This window comes from Homo sapiens, chromosome 17 (genome assembly GCF_000001405.40).
Source record: "Homo sapiens chromosome 17, GRCh38.p14 Primary Assembly".
Taxonomy (NCBI): domain Eukaryota; kingdom Metazoa; phylum Chordata; class Mammalia; order Primates; family Hominidae; genus Homo; species Homo sapiens.
The window spans coordinates 20,448,577-20,467,838 of record NC_000017.11 but is presented as its reverse complement, the minus strand read 5'-3'; the positions used below and the strand labels follow the sequence as shown (position 1 = coordinate 20,467,838).

General features: G+C 52.9%; 1 protein-coding gene across 2 annotated transcripts, besides 1 other annotated feature; it reads left to right on the top strand.

The window, feature by feature from the left end:
• Positions 1 to 299: 299 nt before the first annotated feature.
• LGALS9B (galectin 9B) lies at positions 300 to 18,444 on the top strand. Of its 2 annotated transcripts, none has more exons than NM_001042685.3 (11): positions 300 to 407; positions 7,396 to 7,487; positions 9,455 to 9,656; positions 11,168 to 11,278; positions 12,441 to 12,536; positions 14,232 to 14,267; positions 14,772 to 14,822; positions 15,447 to 15,488; positions 15,956 to 16,044; positions 16,196 to 16,358; positions 17,720 to 18,444. In NM_001042685.3, exons 1-11 carry the CDS (start codon positions 369 to 371, stop codon positions 17,864 to 17,866), a joined length of 1,068 nt encoding a protein of 355 aa, NP_001036150.1. In that variant the 5' UTR covers positions 300 to 368; the 3' UTR covers positions 17,867 to 18,444. The 2 variants fall into 2 exon arrangements, with proteins under 2 accessions (NP_001036150.1, NP_001354221.1); NM_001367292.2 differs by having other exon boundaries at positions 15,444 to 15,488.
• Positions 17,552 to 18,051: an enhancer, noted in NCBI's record as "H3K4me1 hESC enhancer chr17:20353101-20353600 (GRCh37/hg19 assembly coordinates)". NCBI's record gives its function as "activates a minimal SCP1, AML or CMV promoter by ChIP-STARR-seq in naive H9 embryonic stem cells {active_cell/tissue: H9 hESC(naive)}" and the evidence as "EXISTENCE:reporter gene assay evidence [ECO:0000049][PMID:30033119]".
• Positions 18,445 to 19,262: the final 818 nt, after the last annotated feature.

Sequence of the window (19,262 nt, the reverse complement as noted above, 5' to 3'; positions counted from 1 at the left end):
AAGCATGCTTAGGACACCCAGCCACATACTTCTGGGCAGTGTCATCTGGCAACTCACTGTCATGTCAGTGTGGTCAAGCATTGTAGACCTCTATGAACCAAATATGCTTCAGGCTGGGGTTGAGCACAGGAGAGGGAGGAGGGAAAGGTCACTGGGGCTGGGAGTGCCTACTTCCCTCTATGAGTGTCACCCCAGTTCACCCAACACCCTACCTTTCTCTCTCTGGACCCACTTCCTCTTGCTGCCGGCTCCTCCCCATTGAATAACAGCCAAGTTGCTTTGGTTTCTATTACTTTGTTAAGTCATTCCTTCTGCAAAGGACTGCCTGGCAGGTGTGAAAGGCAGCGGTGGCCACAGAGGCGGTGGAGATGGCCTTCAGCGGTTCCCAGGCTCCCTATCTGAGCCCAGTGAGTTCCAGGGCCGTGGGCACAGGGCTGCCTCAGCCAGGGGGACACAGTTATGGGGCTCTGAGGAAGCAACTCCTGGGTGGCAGGAGACAGGGGTGGGGGCATCCCAAAGAGAACACAAGCAGGGCAGAAATGTCAGTGGGGGTCGTCCTGGCACAGCTGTGCCATGCTGAGCTCACTCATGCCTGGAGGGATGCTCCTCCCATGAATCATGGGTTTGACAGTGTTGGCTGAGCTGTCGTGTCCTGTCCTGTGCGCTCAGGGGAAGAGGTGTAGAGTGGGATGGTTTGTGTAAAGAGGAAGCAAGCATGCTTCTGGGACAGTAAGGATGCTACCCGGCATGGTAGTTAAGGGTGCGTACTGTGGAGTTGGCCTCCCTGGGTCCAGCTATTTACTGGCTGGTGGTCTCTGGGCCTCAGTTTCCATATCTGTGAAGTGGGAATAATACTTGAGCCCCCCACTCCCAGGGTTGGGATATGGATTAAGGAAGTAGTGTATCTAGAGTGTTTGAACAGTGCCTGACACACTGTAGGTGCTTTGGGAGTGTTTCATGTTATTGGGAGTCTGGGGGCAGCAGGGAAGGCCTCCCGAGGAGGTGTCTGTGCTCTGAAGGGTGAGGCGGAGTTAACCAGGCATAGGCATGTCAGGGCATCTGTAGACGGACAGTCTCAGAGGTGACGGAGGCAGGGACTGTCCCTGCAGTGTGGGGTCAGAGGGCTGCAGGTGCCTTGCTGAAACTCTGTGAGGTTTATGAGTCCCCTTCATTCACGGAAAATCCAAGGTTCAGGGAGGCAAAGGCCAGTTGCCAAATGCCCCCAGATGGGAGTGGCAGCCCCAGGAGCCCAGGAGCCTTCAGGGGTGACTGTGTCCTGGGCTGGGTCCTGTCACAGGATCTCACCCTGCCTTGGCAAAGAGCTTCCCGAGGGGCTGGAGTGGGTGGGCTGATGGGCCCTTCCTGAGTGGGGAGACAGAATGGGGAGGGTGGGCAGAGGCAGGGTGCTGAGGGCAGGGAAGCTGCCAGGGGCCACCTCAGCAGAGGCCAGGGTCGGGCTTGGGTGCCCTCTGGTGATACTGAGTCCAGAATGAGGCTGCCTATGTTCTGGTCTGCAGAGCTCAGCTCTGCTTTCTAGACTCCAGAGAGGAAGAATGGAGAAAGGAGGCCTGTTTCCTCCTGGCTGTCACCAATGACCCCTCAGCCACCCTATGGAAGCCCCCAAGGTAGAACCTGCATAGAGGGAGTGGGGGAAGCTGGAACGGGCTGCCGGTGTTGGGCGAGCCTTAGAGTCAGCGTATGCCACCTTGAGCATGTCACCCCGTTTCTGGTTTTCTGCCAGAGAGGGGATCCCAGAGCTTCTTCCAGGTTCTGACATATTATTATTCTGGTAACTGGTTTTTACTTTCTAATCTTTGGATTCAGAAGGAAAATCCTCCTATGCACATCAGAGAGTTTGAGAGAGTTAAAGCGGGGCCTTGGAGCTCAGACAAGAAAGACGATCAGTGCAGCCCCCACAGGTGTCCAGAGCTCCCCTCTACCCTACGGGGGCTCCCCTGGGTTGGGACACTTGAGCCTCACTCGGTGACCCATCTGGCAGTCGGAGCCACGCTTTCTCCACATGCCGACAGTGGGGGAAGGTCACGCGGTTCACTGTCCTGCTGAGGAGGGCTGAGTGCCATGAGGGCCTGGCTTGGAAACCTCACTCCCACTTCTTGTCTGGCCTCATCTAGCCCAGCCTCTTTGGAGGGCTGGGGGGAAGCTGGAACCACCTGCTGTGTGGCCCAGGAAGCACTGCGAGAGCCAGGAATAAGGACGTTCCGAGCTTCCTCATGAGAGGAAGCCTGTGTGGTGGTTAGAAGCGTGGGTGCTGGGGTTCAAATCCCAGCTCTGTTGCCGACCAGCTGTGTAGCTTTGGGCAAGTGACTGAACTTTTCTGTGCCTCAGTTTCCTCATCTGTAAAAGTGGCCGGGGTTGCTGTGAGGATAAATGTTCCCGGTCACCCCCAGAGCCCTCATGGACACACATGGATCCAAATGCCACAGCAGCCTTAGCTGGCCAACTTAAAACAACACATTTGTGCTTACAGTGTTGGAGGTCAGAAGGCTAAAATCAAAGTGTCATGAAAGGTGGCCAGCAGGACCGTGGAGCCTCTGAGGCAACAGGGCACTTTGGCTAAGGGCCACGTACTGGCTCCAGCTGGCAGGCAGTCTCGGCCAGCCAGGCTGAGCTCCCTACTCCTGGGGCCAGGCCTTGGTGTCCTCTGGTGATGCTGAGTCCAGAATGAGGCTGCCCACATTCTGGTCCGCAGGGCTCAGCTCTGCTTTGACTTCCAGGTAGGAAGAAGAGGGAAAGTCCCCGGTCTCTGGGCACAACCAGGAACAGAGAGCAAGTTCTGACTCAGCAGAGGGATTGATTTGTTCCATGCAAAGAGCTGCACTGTCAAGGCCGACATGGGCCAGAGGCTCAGCACATGGCATCGCACCCCGTCCTCTCAGAACGCTGCCAGCCAGGGACTCAGCACATGGCATTCCACCCAGTCCTCTCCAGAATGCTGCCAGCCAGGGACTCAGCACACAGCATTGCACCCAGTCCTCTCCAGAACACTGTCGGGTGGTGTTACTGCCCTGCCATTCAGAGGAGGGAAGTGGGGCACAGGCAGGTCAAGTGACTTGGCCAGTGTCAGAATTGCTAGTGTACAGAGCTGGGAGGCGAGCCCAGGCCCATGGGACCACAAATCCAACACAAAAATCCATCCTCCTGCACCCTACGGAGCAAAAGTAGGTCCAGTTGTTTTCCTGGGTTTCCTGGACACACGGATCTAAATTCCACAGCAGCCTTGGCTGGCCAATCTTAAAACAACAAATTTGCTTTCTTAATGATTCTGGAGGGCAGATGTTAAAATCATCGTGTGAGCAAGGTTGTTTCCTTCCGGAGGCTCCAGGGGAGAATCTGTTTCTTTTGCTTTTCCAGCTTCTAGAGGCTGCCTGCCTGCCTTGGCTTATGACCCCTCCTGCCATCTTTAAAACCAGCAGCTTTGTCTGGGTGCAGTGGCTCATGCCTGTAATCCCAGCACTTTGGGAAGCTGAGGCAGGAGGATCTCTTTAGCCCAGGAGTTGGAGACCAGCCTGGGCAACAAACTGAGACTGTGTCTCTACAAAGAATAGACAAAAATTAGCCAGGCATGGTGGTGCATGCCTGTAGTCCCAGCTACCTGGGAGGCTGAGGTGGGAGGATCGCGTGAGCCTGGGGAAGTGGAGGCTGCAGTGAGCTGAGATCATGCCACTGCACTCCAGCCTGGGTGACAGAATGAGATCCTGTCTCAAAAAAAAAAAAAAAAAAAAAACACAACAAACAAACAAACAAAACCCCCAAAACCAGCTTCTTGCTTCTGTTGTCACATCTCTTACCTCTGACTTTGATCCTCCTGCTCCCTTTTATAGGACCTTTGTGATTACATTGGGACCACCTGTATAATCCAAGACAATCTCCCCATGCCAAAATTATGCATTTAATCACATCTGCAAAGTCCCTTCTACAACATATTCACAGTTTCCGGGGATTCGAATGTGGATGTTTCTGGGGGGTCGCCCACTGATAACCAGTATTATAAGTTTCTTGTAAATCCTTCCAGAGATATTTTATCTATAAATAAATAAATGCAAGTCCATAGCCTTCCCCTACCCACTTTTTATGCAAATGGCATTATTCCATATCGGTGCTCAGAGTTTTCCTCTTTTTCTTTTTTCTTTTCCGTCTTCTTTTTCTTTTCTTTTGAAAGCTACACAGAACTTATTCTATTATATGGAAATACCCTAATTTATTTCACCTTTTCCCTGTTGGAAGACTTTTAGGCTCCTTCCAATGCTTTGCTTTATAATCCTTTGTGTTATAATGCTGCAATGAATAACCTTGTTTGTTGGATGATATTCAATTTAAAATCTCATTTTTCAGGACAGGCATAGTGGTTCATGTCTGAAATCCCGGCCCTTTGGGAGGCCAAGACAGAAGGATCACTTGAGCCCAGGTGTTCAAGACCAGCCCTGGCAACATATCGAGACCTGGTCTTTTCAAAAAAATTTGAAAATTAGTGGGGTATGGCTTGGTGGCCTGCACTTATTTGGTCTCAGCTGCTCGGGAGGCTGAGGTGGGAGGATTACTTGAGCACAGGAGGTGGAGGCTGCAGTGATCCATGATCACACTCCTCACTGCACTCCAGCCTGGGCAACAGAGTGAGAACCCATCTCAAAATAAAATAAAATAAAATAAATAATAAAATAATCTTGTTTTTCAGAAATTGGGGGTGCCATTTAAGACATTTTGAAACCTCACAGAACTTTTTTGGGGAACTTGTTGCCTTGGAGATTAGCCTGCCCTGTCCTGCCCCCATGACCTGTACTTGGTCTTTCTCCCTCCTGGCTTCCTTAGTTAAGCCTTGTGTGGACTTGCGAGCCCATGTCCATCACTCTCTGCCTTCAATTCTAGGTGCTGTGGTGTGAATACGCTTGAGTGGAGGCCGCATGCTTCCCAGGAGGGTGTGTATTTTCAGCGTTGTCTCTCATGATAGAATGAAAGGCTCTGGAGGGAATCACAGGCTGCCACAAACAGGCAAGGGGAAAAATCTTCCACAGACGTGTTTCAGGGACAACAGGCTTCCCAATCCTAGCCCATGCTGGCCCATAACTGGATCAGGCTGACTCTCCTTCCCCCACACCGCTGGTGTAGACAGGGACAAGAAAGAGAAGTCAGAGACACAGAGAAGCTGTGATTTGCTTGAGGTCACCAAAGTATTTAATGGCAGAGTTCAGACCTGACCTGAGGGGCAAGAAAAGACAACCCCCTCAAATCCATGGGGAGCAGAGACTATCTGGATCAGATCTCAGATTGCCTGGGGCTTTCACGGTGCCAGGTGTGTACACTGAGCTAGGATGGGTTTCCCAGGGTGCTGTGTGGTCACATAACTCAACAATACAGACCAGAAAGCAGTGACCAGTAGGCTGAATTTGGCTAGTGGGTGTTTTCTGTTTGGCCTACACAGTGTTTACTTTAACTTGTTATTATAGGAAATTCAAACATGCAGAGAGAATTGTACCATCAACAACACACACCCATCACTCTGCTCCAACAATGATCAACTCAGGCCTATCTTGCTTCATCCTGTACCCTCCCTCGCTTGCTTCTCTTCCCACCTTCAGATATGCGGAAGCAAATCCAGAGATTTCATTCCATTGTAAATATTTCATTGTGTATCTCTACAATGTGGGAATTTGGGGAGTTTCATTTGAGACAGGGTCTCGCTTTGTTGCCCAGGCTGGAGTGCAGTGGTGCAATCGTGGCTCACTACAGCCTCGACCTCCCAGGCTCAAGTGATCCTCCCACCTCAGCCTCCCAAGTAACTGGGGTTAAAGGTGTGCACCACCACATCTGGCCAATTTTTTTATTTTTTGTAGAGATGGGGGTCCCACTATGTTGCCCAGGCTGGCCTAAAACTCCTGGGCTCAAGTGATTGTTTTACCTCAGCCTCCCAAAATGCTGGGATTATAGATGTGAGCCACTGTGCCCAGTCAGGAACTTTTACATAATCCTTTTTGACAAAAGATTTCCCCCAAGAAATTAGAAAGTTTTACAAAAAAAAAAAAAAAAAAAAATTCAGGTTTCTGTCTCATCTTAAAAATTTGGAAGTTCTGCCAATACTAAGCCCAGATGGTAATCATTGGTTAGTGCTGAGAAGATGTTGACTTTTTAGATGAGGCGTGTGACGTCTACTTTGCCACAGTCCCCACCACTCCCTACCTGGCCATCTGACTCATACACATCACCTGCCTGGCTTCTTTAGGCATTTAATTTGTGTAGGAAATTGACCTAAAGGAGATATTAGAGAAGACATTAAAAACTTGAAGAATGTGAAAATCAGCCATGAGATAGAACTGTGCTTTAATGCAGGTTATAGAACCACACCGGATATGAGGCATTTCGGAATAAACTTTGAAGATTGGAAGTACCAGTTTGTGAATTTTGCTCAGAGAGACCAAGGTGGGGGTGGGTGACAGTGGTGAAGCGTCTCCTCTGTGCCAGTCTCTTCTACCACAGGCTTTTTCTCACAAAATCATCAATCATATGCAGTAGGAGAAACACCTTCCTATTTTACAGATGAGGAAACTGAGGCAAAGAGAGGTGAAATAGGCTTCCCAAGGCCACTCAGGTCAGGAGCAGCAGAGTTAGGATTCAGACCTGGAGTCCGCCTGACTCCAAAACGATGCATGCCTCACCATGGCCCATAGCTCCTTTAAAGAGGCGCGGAAGAGAGAATTTGACAAAGTGCTTGCCCACGGGGCCTGGGATGGGTGGGGAAACTACGCTGGGGCTCGGGGCTGCGGAGGGCATCTGGGAAGAGGCTCTGCTGAAGGTGGTCAGGAGGGCAAAGGTCATGGTGGCCATTGTTATATGGTGGTGGTGGGGAGAGGTGCATGCCTTCTTCTTGACACTCTCTGGTGACCCTCTCGGTGGAACCTGCAGACCCTTGATGGGTCCCTTTGTTCCCTTGGGCCTCCTGAGTCCCCAGCCAGGGCGCTGGGCACTTTGCTGGGAGCTTGGCATGGGGTCCAGCAGCCCCATTGCTACCTAGTTCCTTACCAGCCCAGGGCGTCTGCCTGCTACTTCCCTGCCTGGAAGGAAGGCCTTCCGCCTGGAGCGTTCCTGGTGTGGCCTCCGCTGCCTCTCAGACTCTCACACAAGCTCAGCTCCCTGTCGCGTCCTCTCAGGGCCAGGATTCTCCTTATCACAAGCTTAGACTGTCTGAGTAACTAATTGGATTTGTGTCTGCCTCCACACAGGACCCTAAGACCCGTGGGGCTGAGACTCCTTCTGTCCTGGTCACAGCTGCACCCTAGCCCCTCGCATGGTGCGGTCACACCCAGGCCAGCCACTGACTAGCCCCGAAGGGGAGCAAACAGGAGGCCGGCCACCTGACTGAGGCCCCATGTCTTCTCCCTGCAGGCCGTCCCCTTTTCTGGGACTATCCAAGGGGGTCTCCAGGACGGATTTCAGATCACTGTCAATGGGGCCGTTCTCAGCTCCAGTGGAACCAGGTGTGTGTATATGGATGGAAACGTTTCACTCCAGCCTCGTCCCTTAGTAAAGCCACTGTGCCTGTGAGCCTCGGTTAGTTCAAACAACAACATCCAAGCTCACGTGCCTGGCGCAGGGGAGACCCAATGCATCCTTAACCCATGCCACAGGACAGCACTCCACAGGCACAACCTGCACCCAGGGATGCCATTAACCTGGACTCCAGGATGAATGGGGCCCTGGGAGCTGAAGGTCTAAGGAAGGAGTGGGATGGTCAGAGTTGGATGATTATGTTCTGGGCTGAACCTTGCACACTGTGACTGAGAGTTGCAAAAATCAAACTTCCTCCGTTTCCCATAACTGCTTTCATCCACTCTGAAGCTCTCCTTCTGCTGACATGAAAATACTGAAAATTGACATCCGAAGTAATTTGGTCTCTTTCGGTTTCAAGGCCTTTTCTGGAAACTACTAAGTCCATTCAAAATACTAACATTGTATCAGGGCTGTTTCCCACCCCTTCCTCCCTCCCAAGGTGGGCTGTCTGGGAACAGAGAGGAGCTCACGTGGCTTGTCAGTGGCTGGGAGGGCCCCCGACCCTCACGCAGGCCTGGCTGACCCCTGCCGAGGCATCCTGACTGGGTGGCACAGAGGTGTGCAGCTCTCTCCTGGTTTAGTGAGGGACCACGGGTGGCTGCCTGCTGAAGTCTGCGGGGCCCACAGAAGAGCCTCTGGACTCATGGCTCTCTCTCGGAAGCCTCTCTGCCTCAGTCCCAGTGGACCTCTCTTAAGACCCTCTGGGCCTCGTAGATGCCAGCTCAACCTCAGCTCCGCCACCTAGATTCTTGATGACCTCCTCCGCCATTGCTATCCTGCTGTCGGACTTCTCTGAGAGCCTGCAGTGCCCCCAGGAGATGCCAAGGGCAGGGAGGCCCTGATCCCCCTGAATCCTCCAACCGGGGGAATCAGAACCATGCCTCTGATCTTCCACCCCTTCCTCTTTCCCTCTCCCTCTGTTTCCCCCACCTCCCAGCACCAGGAGGGCTTCCCACTCCCATCCTGTTGCACAGAGACAGATCCTACCTCAGAGGGCCCTCTCCTCTCAGGAGCTTTCTGTCTCTCCCTTCCTTGGGGCAGGAATTTCCAAAGGGCCACAGGAATGAAGCTGAAGGTCTCCAAAGGAAAAAAATACATGCAGTGATATTTCAAATGCAATCTTCTCCATTTATTCATTTAATTAATTTATTTTTTTCTTTAGAGACAGGGACTTTTTTCTTTCACCCAGGCTGGAGTGCAGTGGTACGATCATAGCTCACTGCAGCCTCGACTTCCTGGGCTCAAGGGATCCTCCCATCTCATCCCCCAGAGCAGCTGGGACTATAGACATGCATCATGATGTCTAGCTAATTAAATATATATATATATCTTTTTGTTTTTTAAGTAGAGATGAGATCTCGCTCTGTTGCTCAGGCTGGTCTTCAACTCCTGGGCTCAAGTGATCCACCCACCTTGGCGTCCCAAAGTGCTGTGATTACAGGCGTGAGGCACTGCGCCCGGCCCCGATTTCACATGCTCTTTACATTTGTTCTCTTCTTTCGCACTTAATCAGGCATGTGCTGGCCTCCAACAAGTGTCCACTGGCACAGAAGCCTCTCTCTTCTAGGTGTGCTTAACAACTTCCATCTTTGTTACCAACTGGTAATCACTTTCCAGGACCTATGCTTCTTGTTTGCTAATGCCAGCACTTTCCCTTAGCCATTTTCTACTTATGTTTAGAAAATCGTGCTGTAAAGGCAAAATGCAATAATCGCACAAAAACACATTGGATCCAAATTAGAGAAACAAAAACGATGCCAACCAAGCAGTCTCTGCCACGCAGGTTGTATGCAAGATCCCAGACAAACACAGGGCAGAGGCACCGAGGCCCTCCTGTGCCTGTCACTGGCAATAATCCATGCCACAGAAGACTATTTGCTTTTCCTGGGCCTAGGTTTGCTGTGGACTTTCAGACGGGCTTCAGTGGAAACGACATTGCCTTCCACTTCAACCCTCGGTTTGAAGACGGAGGGTATGTGGTGTGCAACACGAGGCAGAAAGGAAGATGGGGGCCCGAGGAGAGGAAGATGCACATGCCCTTCCAGAAGGGGATGCCCTTTGACCTCTGCTTCCTGGTGCAGAGCTCAGATTTCAAGGTAAGCAGGAATCCCCTCCCCACCTCTCGCCCACGGGACTCCCAGCCCTATCAGGTGAATGTGAATGGCCTTTTAAGTAACCACTTTAATTGACATTCAGCCAGAGTGACACCACCATACAGATAACATGACCATTTCCTTGTAAGGGTGTTACCCATGGCTGTGTAGTCTCCTTACGCACCTTCACCTGAATCTACAGGTGCACCTCCTGCTTCTTTTACTCTGAAAATAAGAACTAGAGGAGTCATCACGTTGCTGTTAGGTGTTGTGTGTCTTTGAATTCCAAGCTCATTCCATTCCTCTGCTATCACCATACCTCCTCTCCAGGTCCCTGGTAACATTTATTTTTCAGCGACATTGTTCCAGCCTTTATCCAGAGTCTATTACGGTTATAGTTCTGTAAGCACATTGCAAATTACCTTTGCAAGCACAGTAGGTCTCTGGGCTTGAGAAGCCGGTGGGTAACTCAGTCTGAATATGCTTATCTGAGATAAGGATGTTCCCATCCATTCAGTATGCAACCCGATGTCACCTCTCCTCTGCTCCCCGTGAGCATTTTATGCATATTTAAATAATACCCCTGCAGTCCTAAAAAGGAATGAGATCATGTCCTTTACAGGAACATGGATGGAGCTGGAAGCCGTTGCAGGAGCAGAAAACCAAACACCGCAAGTTCTCACTTATAAGTAGGAGCTGAACGATGAGAACACATGGACACAAGTGGGGAAACAACACACACTGGGGCCTGGTCGGGGACGGAGAGCATCAGGAAGATTAGCTAATGGATGCTGGGCTTGATACCAAGGTGAAGGGTTGATCTGTGCAGCAAAACACCGTGGCACACATTTACCTAGTTAACAAACCTGCAGATCCTATACTCATACCCTGGAACTTGAAATAAAAGTTGAAGGGGCTGGGCACGGCGGCTCACCCTTATAATCCAAGCACTTTGGGAGGGTGAGGAGGACAGATGGCTTGAGGTCAGGAGTTCAAGACCTGCCTGGCCAACATGGTGAAATCCCGTCTCTACTAAAAATACAAACATTAGCTTGGTGTGGTGGTGGATGCCTGTAATCCCAGCTACTCGGGAGGCTGAGGCAGGAGAATCGCTTGAACCACTGCACTGCAGCCTGGCTGACAGAGTGACACTCTATCTCAAAAAAAAAAAAAAAAAGTTGAAGGAAAAATAATAAATAAATGAAACCCCAGGAAATTCAGTTTGGTTCCTGAGCATGGGCTCTTTCTGGAACAATATGGCCTCCTAACCAGGCTGGAAATCGAGGAGTGAGAAGAAAGGGGAAGGAAACAACCAGAAGAATGGAAAGCCCGACTGGAGCCCAGTAGAGACTCCGGTTGATGCACTTCGGGCCACACACACGTCCCTGTAACTGGCCCCACACTGAAGACCAGACTCAGGTCTTCATTTTTTAGAAGGAGGGACCAGGAGCTCAGGGGTGGTCCCCATCCCGGCCTGGGGCACCTCCCCCGAAATACGTGCTCTCCTCTGGCAGGTGATGGTGAACGGGAGCCTCTTCGTGCAGTACTTCCACCGCGTGCCCTTCCACCGTGTGGACACCATCTCCGTCAATGGCTCTGTGCAGCTGTCCTACATCAGCTTCCAGGTCAGACTGTCCACCTGGCACCGGTCCCAGGGGCTGGGATGCAGGGCCCAGCTGGGGGGACCCAAGCCAATCTCCTACCCAGGTCACTCTGGGGACAACCTCTGCTTCCCTGTCCCAGTACCTGCCCGCCCCTTCTCCTCTGTCACTCTGCCCCTCCTTCTGTGTCACTGTCTCTGTCTGGAACACCTGCCTTGGTCTCCCAGACTCCTCAGCTGCCCCTTTCTCTTCATCCGTCAATTTCCATCCTGGTAAGGAGGGCATATTGTTCTAGAAAGAGCCCAGGCTCAAGAACCAAACTGAATCCAGTTCAAATTCCCAGCTCTGCCATTCGTCATCTGTGGGATCTTAGACAAGCAACTTTGCCTCTCTCAGCCTCAGTTTCGTCATCTGTAGAATGAGCATGGTCATTGCCTGGCCCCCATGGGTGGTTGTGTGATTCATTGAGGAGACAGATATCAGAGGTCACACAATGGCGCCCCTGGGCCCACACCAGGGTCTGTGTGACCTCTGTGTTTTAAAAACTTTGAATGCGTTGCCAACATCTAAAAGGTCAGGAGACCCAGGTATGGTGGTGGAGGTCTGCAATCCTGGTTACTCAAGAGGCTGAGGCAGGAGAATCGCTTGAGCCCAGGAATTAGAGTTCTGCCTGAGCAACATAGCAAGACCCCATCTCTAAAATCTTTTTGTTTGAATAATAAAATAAAATAAATAAAACTAAAGAAGGTCAGGAGATACCAACACCACGTGAAAAATGGGAAGATTAGGGTATGCTGGGCCCACATTCCCACAGGGCACCGGCAGCTGGATGGGAGCTGCTGTTACCCTTTTGGCATTCGAGGGAGCTCCCTGAGATGAGCGAAGTGCACAGTAGGCCCTCAGCAAATCTGGGCTCCTCACCCTTTGGTCCTCATCTCTCATTCCCTCCTTCCCTGACTCTCTCCCCTGCGGGTGGAAGGGGAGGGAAGAGCTGGAGGGAGACTGTCCCCCTGCGCTGCTCACCGAAGCCTGGCCCTTTCCGCTCTCGCCTCCGTGTGGCCCTAACCCCCTTGCTGCATCCCCCTGCCTGCCTGTTCTCTGCCTCCTGCCCCTGCATCTGCCTTTCGGCTTCTCCTTGGCTCTATTAATGCTTCTCCTCACCGGCCGGTGCCTTTTGTTTTAACAGAATCCCCGCACAGTCCCCGTTCAGCCTGCCTTCTCCACGGTGCCGTTCTCCCAGCCTGTCTGTTTCCCACCCAGGCCCAGGGGGCGCAGACAAAAAGTGAGTTCAACACAGAGGCCCTGGGTGGCTGAGCAGACAGCAGGAAGGACCGAGGGTTTGAGAGGCTGGCCCCAGCCAGCAGGCCACCAGGGCCTATGGGCCACATCTTGCCCACTCAAGAGTTCCCTGTCTCTGTCTGCTGGGCACCCAGAGCCGGGGACCTGGGTGTTGCCCTGGATTCTTCACTACCCTTTCTTTATGTCTCTCCAAGGCACCAACATATCTCCCTCCCAAAGCCACCGATGTGGCCCAGGCCTCTGGGATTCCTCACCATGACTACAGGGGTCCAGTTCCCCACCCCCCACACCCAACCGCTGCCACAGTGACCTTCTTATAAGCAAATCTGATCACACTCTCTCCCTGCTTAAAAATCTTAAAAGTCCCCAGCCCTTCAAACAAAGCCCAAATTCCCCAGCAGGGCATACGAATTCCTCCCCAGTCTGGCCCCAGTCCACCTCCTTGCCTCACCCCCAACCCACGAAGCTCATGCAACCTCCACGGCTCACTCAAGGCCCTCTCGGGCCACCATGCTTTTGCATATGCTGTCCCTGGTCCCGGAAGCACCCTCTGCCAGCCTGCCCTCAGCACACGCCTAATCGCCCTTCCATGCTCTGCCAAAGTGTCGCTCCTCTGGGAGTCCTCCCTGCCCAGAATATTGTTGGATGCTCCCCCCATGCCCCCACGGAGTCTGTACATATCTGTGCCATGCCAGTTCACAGCACCCCATTGTAACTGTTTGCGTGTCTGTCCCTGTCACTCCACCCCCATCTCCCTATGCCCATGAGGCCCCAGAGGGCTGGGACTGTGGGTCGTTCATTTGCACAGTGCCTGGCACTCACTAGGGACTCGAAGAATGGATGAATGTGGAATGTGGTTTTCGCAGCCAGGGAGAATGGGATACCAGCCAGGGCAAGAACAGTCTACTGGGTGGGGCAGGATCCACGACAAGGAGGTGGGCAGCCCTTCCTCTGGCCACTCAAGCAGTGGGGACTGGGAGGAGGGGCGCTTTGTCTATGTAGCCTTTTTATGGCCCATGATGGTACAGACAGTGCACCTGCCTCCTGCCACGCTGACTTCAGGACTGGTGGAGCCCCAGGGAACATTCGCAGGGCAGCCAAACTTTGGCCCTGGCCCTGGCGCTGGCCCTGGCCCTAGGGATGACAGAAAGTGTGCTGGATGCAGTCAGACAGAATTGGCTGCCATTTTGGATTTGATCCCTTCCACCCGGGCAAGCTTGGGCAAGTTGCTTAATCTTTCTGAGCCTCATTGCCTCACCAGGGACACAGGAGCTGAGGCTGCTTCCCTCTTTGGAAAGCACTGAAGCCCAGGACTCGGCCCACAATAGGCCTTCAACAAATACCACTTCTCAGCTTACGGGTGAAATATGGCACCGGAAGTAATGCTCTTGGCTGTGGGAGCTACAGACAGCAATGAGGTCTCTATCAAACCCAGCCTCCTCTCTCTCGAGAGGAACCAATGGGGATACCCTACCCCTCAACCCCAAAGCCTTGTGCACCTGAGGGTAAAAATCTGGGTGCCACGGGCTCAGGAAGGCTTGCTTGGGAGCAAGAGGGAGGTGGGTGTGTCTGGGGAGGCATTTCTGAGCACAAGAGCCTCCCTGGAGTTCTGCCATCGTCTCTCCCCGTTCTGTGGTGCCCGCAATAACCACCGTTCTGACTCTCCTCACCCCTCCAGCCTCCCAGCGTGCGGCCTGCCAACCCAGCTCCCATTGTAAGTCTCTTGCTTTCTTTTTGGATCCTCTTGATTTTGGCTCTTCTTCTGGGCTAATGGAGGATGCAGGGCCAGGCATTGGGCCTCTCCCATCGGGAGTGGGGAGGGCAGAGGCCAGGCCCTTGACCATCTACCCGGCCTGGCGAGGTTGGTGGGTGAATGTGGTTGGCTGGCCGTGATGGAACAACCTGAGTTGCCACTCCATGGGCAGCCACGGAAGACCATGCCCCACGTTCACTTCTCTCACCTGCAAAGGGAGGCTAGGCTGAGAGACGTTTCCCCGAGAGGAAAGATGGGCCAGAGCCACCAGCGTCCCCATCTGTCTTCTCCAGGGTTCTAACCTTTGCCTCTCCCTCGTCCCCTGGACCCACCCTCCGTGGGGTCTGTGGGGCCACTGGGCTGGTTATGCCCCTGGAGGGTGCCTGCCGTGTGGCACCCTCTGGTGGGAGCTGGGGTGGTCTTTACTCAGGAGAGCCTGGGTGAGACCTGGTTTCTTTCTTCCAGACCCAGACAGTCATCCACACGGTGCAGAGCGCCTCTGGACAGATGTTCTCTGTAAGTCTTCAAGTTCTGATCAGTTCACAGCTGCACAGTGCCCTCCTTCCCCAAGAACTAAACTCCCTAGAGCCCTAGAGTTGGGAAGAAAGCGGTTTAGCAAGGAGGGTGGGGACATCTGGGGCTGAGTCCTTGGCTCAGGTGACATGTGGTTAAAACTATCCTTGGGACAGCAGAGATTCTGGATTTATCCAGTGGTGGAAGAGGCAGGTTCCCTAGAGACTGGGAGGGAAACTGGTCCTTCTGTCACCAAGTGGGGAGTGCAGTGGCCCCAGCACCCAGATGTGAGGTTCCTGGCCCTGCCTCCTGGGTCCCCGGGATGTCACTACAGATCACAGGCTTAAGCTCTTCTCCTGCTGGTGCAAATCAGGCCGGGAACTTAGCATTAGTGGGGCTGCCTGCGGAGGGGCTGAGGGGCAGGTGACCATGGTGGGGTCTGGGAACACGGCAGGAAGTTCCAGGAAGGCTAACATGAAAACGGAGGTTTACGGGAGAGTCCAAGGGCCAAAGGCTCATGAGGTCAGCCTCACAGTGGAGCCCCCTCTAGAATGCGTGGGTGCGCGTGGGTGAGTGCTCGCGCACACATGCGCTCTCCCATTGAATTTCCTGGTTTCTTTTCAGCAGACTCCCGCCATCCCACCTATGATGTACCCCCACCCTGCCTATGTAAGTGGTTTCTCAGGGAGGGCAGAGGTTCTGTTTGTGGTGGGCAGGCTAGGGATGAAGGGCCGCTACGGGGGGATCCGCTGGCCTTGAAAAATGAAAAGCGAAGGGCTTTCAAAATGGTAAGCTGAAGGGCTTCAAAGCGTCCCAGTGAATTAGAAGACTGTGGAGAGGAGCTTTCAACCTTAAAACTGTCGTGTCAACGTGAGCACATTGCATGGCCCTCCCTTTTCACCCCACGAGTCTTTCTTTCTGTGTTTGGCCAAATTTCCTTTCATGACACTAATCTAAGCCCATTAATTTGAGGAGCACCGGAAAGTTTTCCTTTGGCTTTTATGGAACCAAGTAAAGATATCGTGGGCTTCTTCTCAGCTGACAGCCTAAATTCATGGGAAATGGTACAATCTTCCCCTTCCATGTGGCGGCTGCCCTGGCTGCCACTGGCTGACCTGTCCCCGTCCTTCTGACAGCCGATGCCTTTCATCACCACCATTCCGGGAGGGCTGTACCCATCCAAGTCCATCATCCTGTCAGGCACTGTCCTGCCCAGTGCTCAGAGGTAAGCCAAAGGCTCCAGTGACCTCTGGGAAGAGAGAGCCCTTCAAGGTAATTCCAGCCATTCCCCTGGCTTTTGGCAGGCTGGCGATGATGGGGAGGAAATGGGGCTCAGAACTCAGTGGACAAAGGTCCAGGTAGGCTGCCCACCGCAGGTTCCACATCAACCTGTGCTCTGGGAGCCACATCGCCTTCCACATGAACCCCCGTTTTGATGAGAATGCTGTGGTCCGTAACACCCAGATCAACAACTCTTGGGGGTCTGAGGAGCGAAGTCTGCCCCGAAAAATGCCCTTCGTCCGAGGCCAGAGCTTCTCGGTAAGGCGCCGCAGCCTGGAGCTTGAGGAGGCTCCTATGGGTACACGGGGAGGGGGTAAAGGAGGTCTGGGGCACCTTGAACAGGATGGAAGCTGATGCCTCTGGGATGAGGGCCCAGAAGAAAAGGTGGCCAAAAAATTATTGTCATTATTATTAATAATTATTACTGTCCTGCATGAAGGAAGCGTTGGGATCTGCTTTTTTAGATGAGGAAAGAAACTCACAAGTGCAGGTTACTTGCTTGCGGTCACACAGTCAGTAAGTGTCAAATCAGACCCAAGAAGGAGGTGTTATTCATTTCTTCACTGACTCATTCAACGATTTCACTGTCGCCCGCTTTGTGCAGGAAGCACTCCACGTGCTGGGAGCGCAGTCATGAAGCAGACACATAGGGTCCTTCCTCCAGAGAGTTTACAATTTAGCTGGGGGAAGGAACAAGGAAACTAAAGCATGAACAGATTGTTGCAGATAACAACAGTGCCACGCAGAAAGCAAAACAGAGCGATGAGATAGAGCGAGCCTGGGAGGGGCAGCTAGGGCCAACATGCAGAGGTGCGGGTGTGGCCTCTCCAGGAACAGCAGCAGGCGTGCTCCGCCCTGACTACACATTCAAATCACCCAGAGAGCTTACAAAGAACATATAGGTGCTGGGACCCCAGCCCAGGCCAATGAGGCGGTCAGCCTGGGCATTTGTATTTTTAAAATATGCCTGAAGTGATTACACTCTGCAATCAGAGTTGAAAATGACTGATGTAGGGCTTTGCAGCCATGGAGCCAGGGAGCAACATTCTTTGATTTGTGGACAGCTGTGTGACCTCGGGCAAGTGACTTAGCTACTCTGTGCTTCAGTTTCCTCATCTACAAAATGGAGCTAATAATCATATGAATCTCCTAGAGCTGTAAGAATGGAATGAGGCAGTATCTGTAGCACGCTTAGGACAGTGCCTTACACATGGCATGTGTGTTAAGAGTGTCAGCTATTGCAAAGGGCAGGAGGTTTTAACATTTGTACCCTGACTGCCTCATGGAGAAGGCATTGGGGTGGAAAAGACAAGTTAGGAGGCTGATGCTGCAGGAGCCCAGGCCCAGAGCACTCCTGTGTGCTGGGTCCGAGGGATACAGATGGCACAGGCCAGTGCTCCTGTCCCTGATGTCGTGGGAACAGTATTCTAGGCCAGGGAACAGTACAGGGGAAGGAGCACGCACAGCCTGTTTAGTGAAGAGCCGGTCGCTCAGTGGGGATAGAGTGCAGGTGAGGGGCTTATTAACAACTGAGGAGGGAGGGAGGGAGGGAGAGAGGAGGCTGCAGTGAGGGTGGAGGACTTCCCAAGTGTAGTGCAAACGGCATAATCTCTGCACAGGTGTGGATCTTGTGTGAAGCTCACTGCCTCAAGGTGGCCGTGGATGGTCAGCACGTGTTTGAATACTACCATCGCCTGAGGAACCTGCCCACCATCAACAAACTGGAAGTGGGTGGCGACATCCAGCTGACCCACGTGCAGACATAGGCGGCTCCCTGGCCCTGGGGCCGGGGGCTGGGGTGTGGGGCAGTCGGGGTCCTCTCATCATCCCCACTTCCCAGGCCCAGCCTTTCCAACCGTGCCTGGGATCTGGGCTTTAATGCAGAGGCCATGTCCTTATCTGGTCCTGCTTCTGGCTACAGCCACCCTGGAATTGAGAAGGCAGCTGACTGGGATTGTCTTCCTCAGCCGCAGCAGCACCTGGGGCGCCAGCTGCTGGAATCCTACAATCCCAGAAGGCGGGCACAGCCAGGGAGAGGGGAGGAGCGGGCAGTGAAGATGAAGCCCCATGCTCAGTCCCCTCCCATCCCCCACGCAGCTCCACCCCAGTCTCAAGCCACCAGCTGTCTGCTCCTGGTGGGAGATGGCCTCCTCAGCCCCTCCTCTCTGACCTTTAACCTCACTCTCACCTTGCACCCTGCACCAACCCTTCACCCCTCCTGGAAAGCAGGTCTGATGGCTTCCCACTGGCCTCCACCAACTGACCAGAGTGTTCTCTTCAGGGGACTGGCTCCTTTCCCAGTGTCCTTAAAATAAAGAAATGAAAATGCTTGTTGGCACATTCATGTGGGTTGACTGTGGCTTCTTTAATTCATTTGGAGACATTTTGGAATCTGTGGAATCAGGCGGAGGGGCTGCTGAGAGGAGTGGGATGGGAGAGCATGGACTCCCTTTGGGCAGGGGGTCCTGACCTCACACCTCCTAATTAAAAAAGGATTAATGGCCGGGTATGCTGGCTCACGCCTGTAATCCCAGCACTTTGGAGGCTGACGCAGGTGGATCACCTGAGGTTGGGAGCTCATGACTCGCCTGTCCAACATGAAGAAACCCCATCTCTACTAAAAATACAAAATTAGCCAGGCGTGGTGGTGCACACCTGTAATTCCGTCTACCTGGGAGGCTGAGGCAGGAGAATGGCTTGAACCTGGGAGGTGGAGGTTGCAGTGAGCCGCGATTGCGCCATTGAACTCCAGCCTGGGCAACAAGAGTGAAACTCTATCTCAAAAACAAACAAACAAACAAAAAAACGAAAAACGAGCTGGGCATGGTGGTGGTGGCGGTGGGTATCTGTAGTCCCAGTTACTTGGGAGGCTGAGACACAAGAATCACTTTAACCCGGGAGGCAGAGGTTGCAGTGAGCCGAGACTGCACCACTGCACTCCAGCCTGGGTGACAGAGCAAGGCTCTGTCAAAAAAAAAAAAAAAAAAAAAAGGAAGCCAATGCATGGGCTCCTCTGGTGGCCACAGGGTCTAGAATTATCAGGTCTCAGGGATGACTCCACCAGGGCAGTGTGGAAGGGAAATGTGGGGTTGAAGCCCCCACACAGAGCCCCCACTGGGCCAGTGTCTAGGGGAGCTATGAGAAGAGAGCCACCGTCCCATG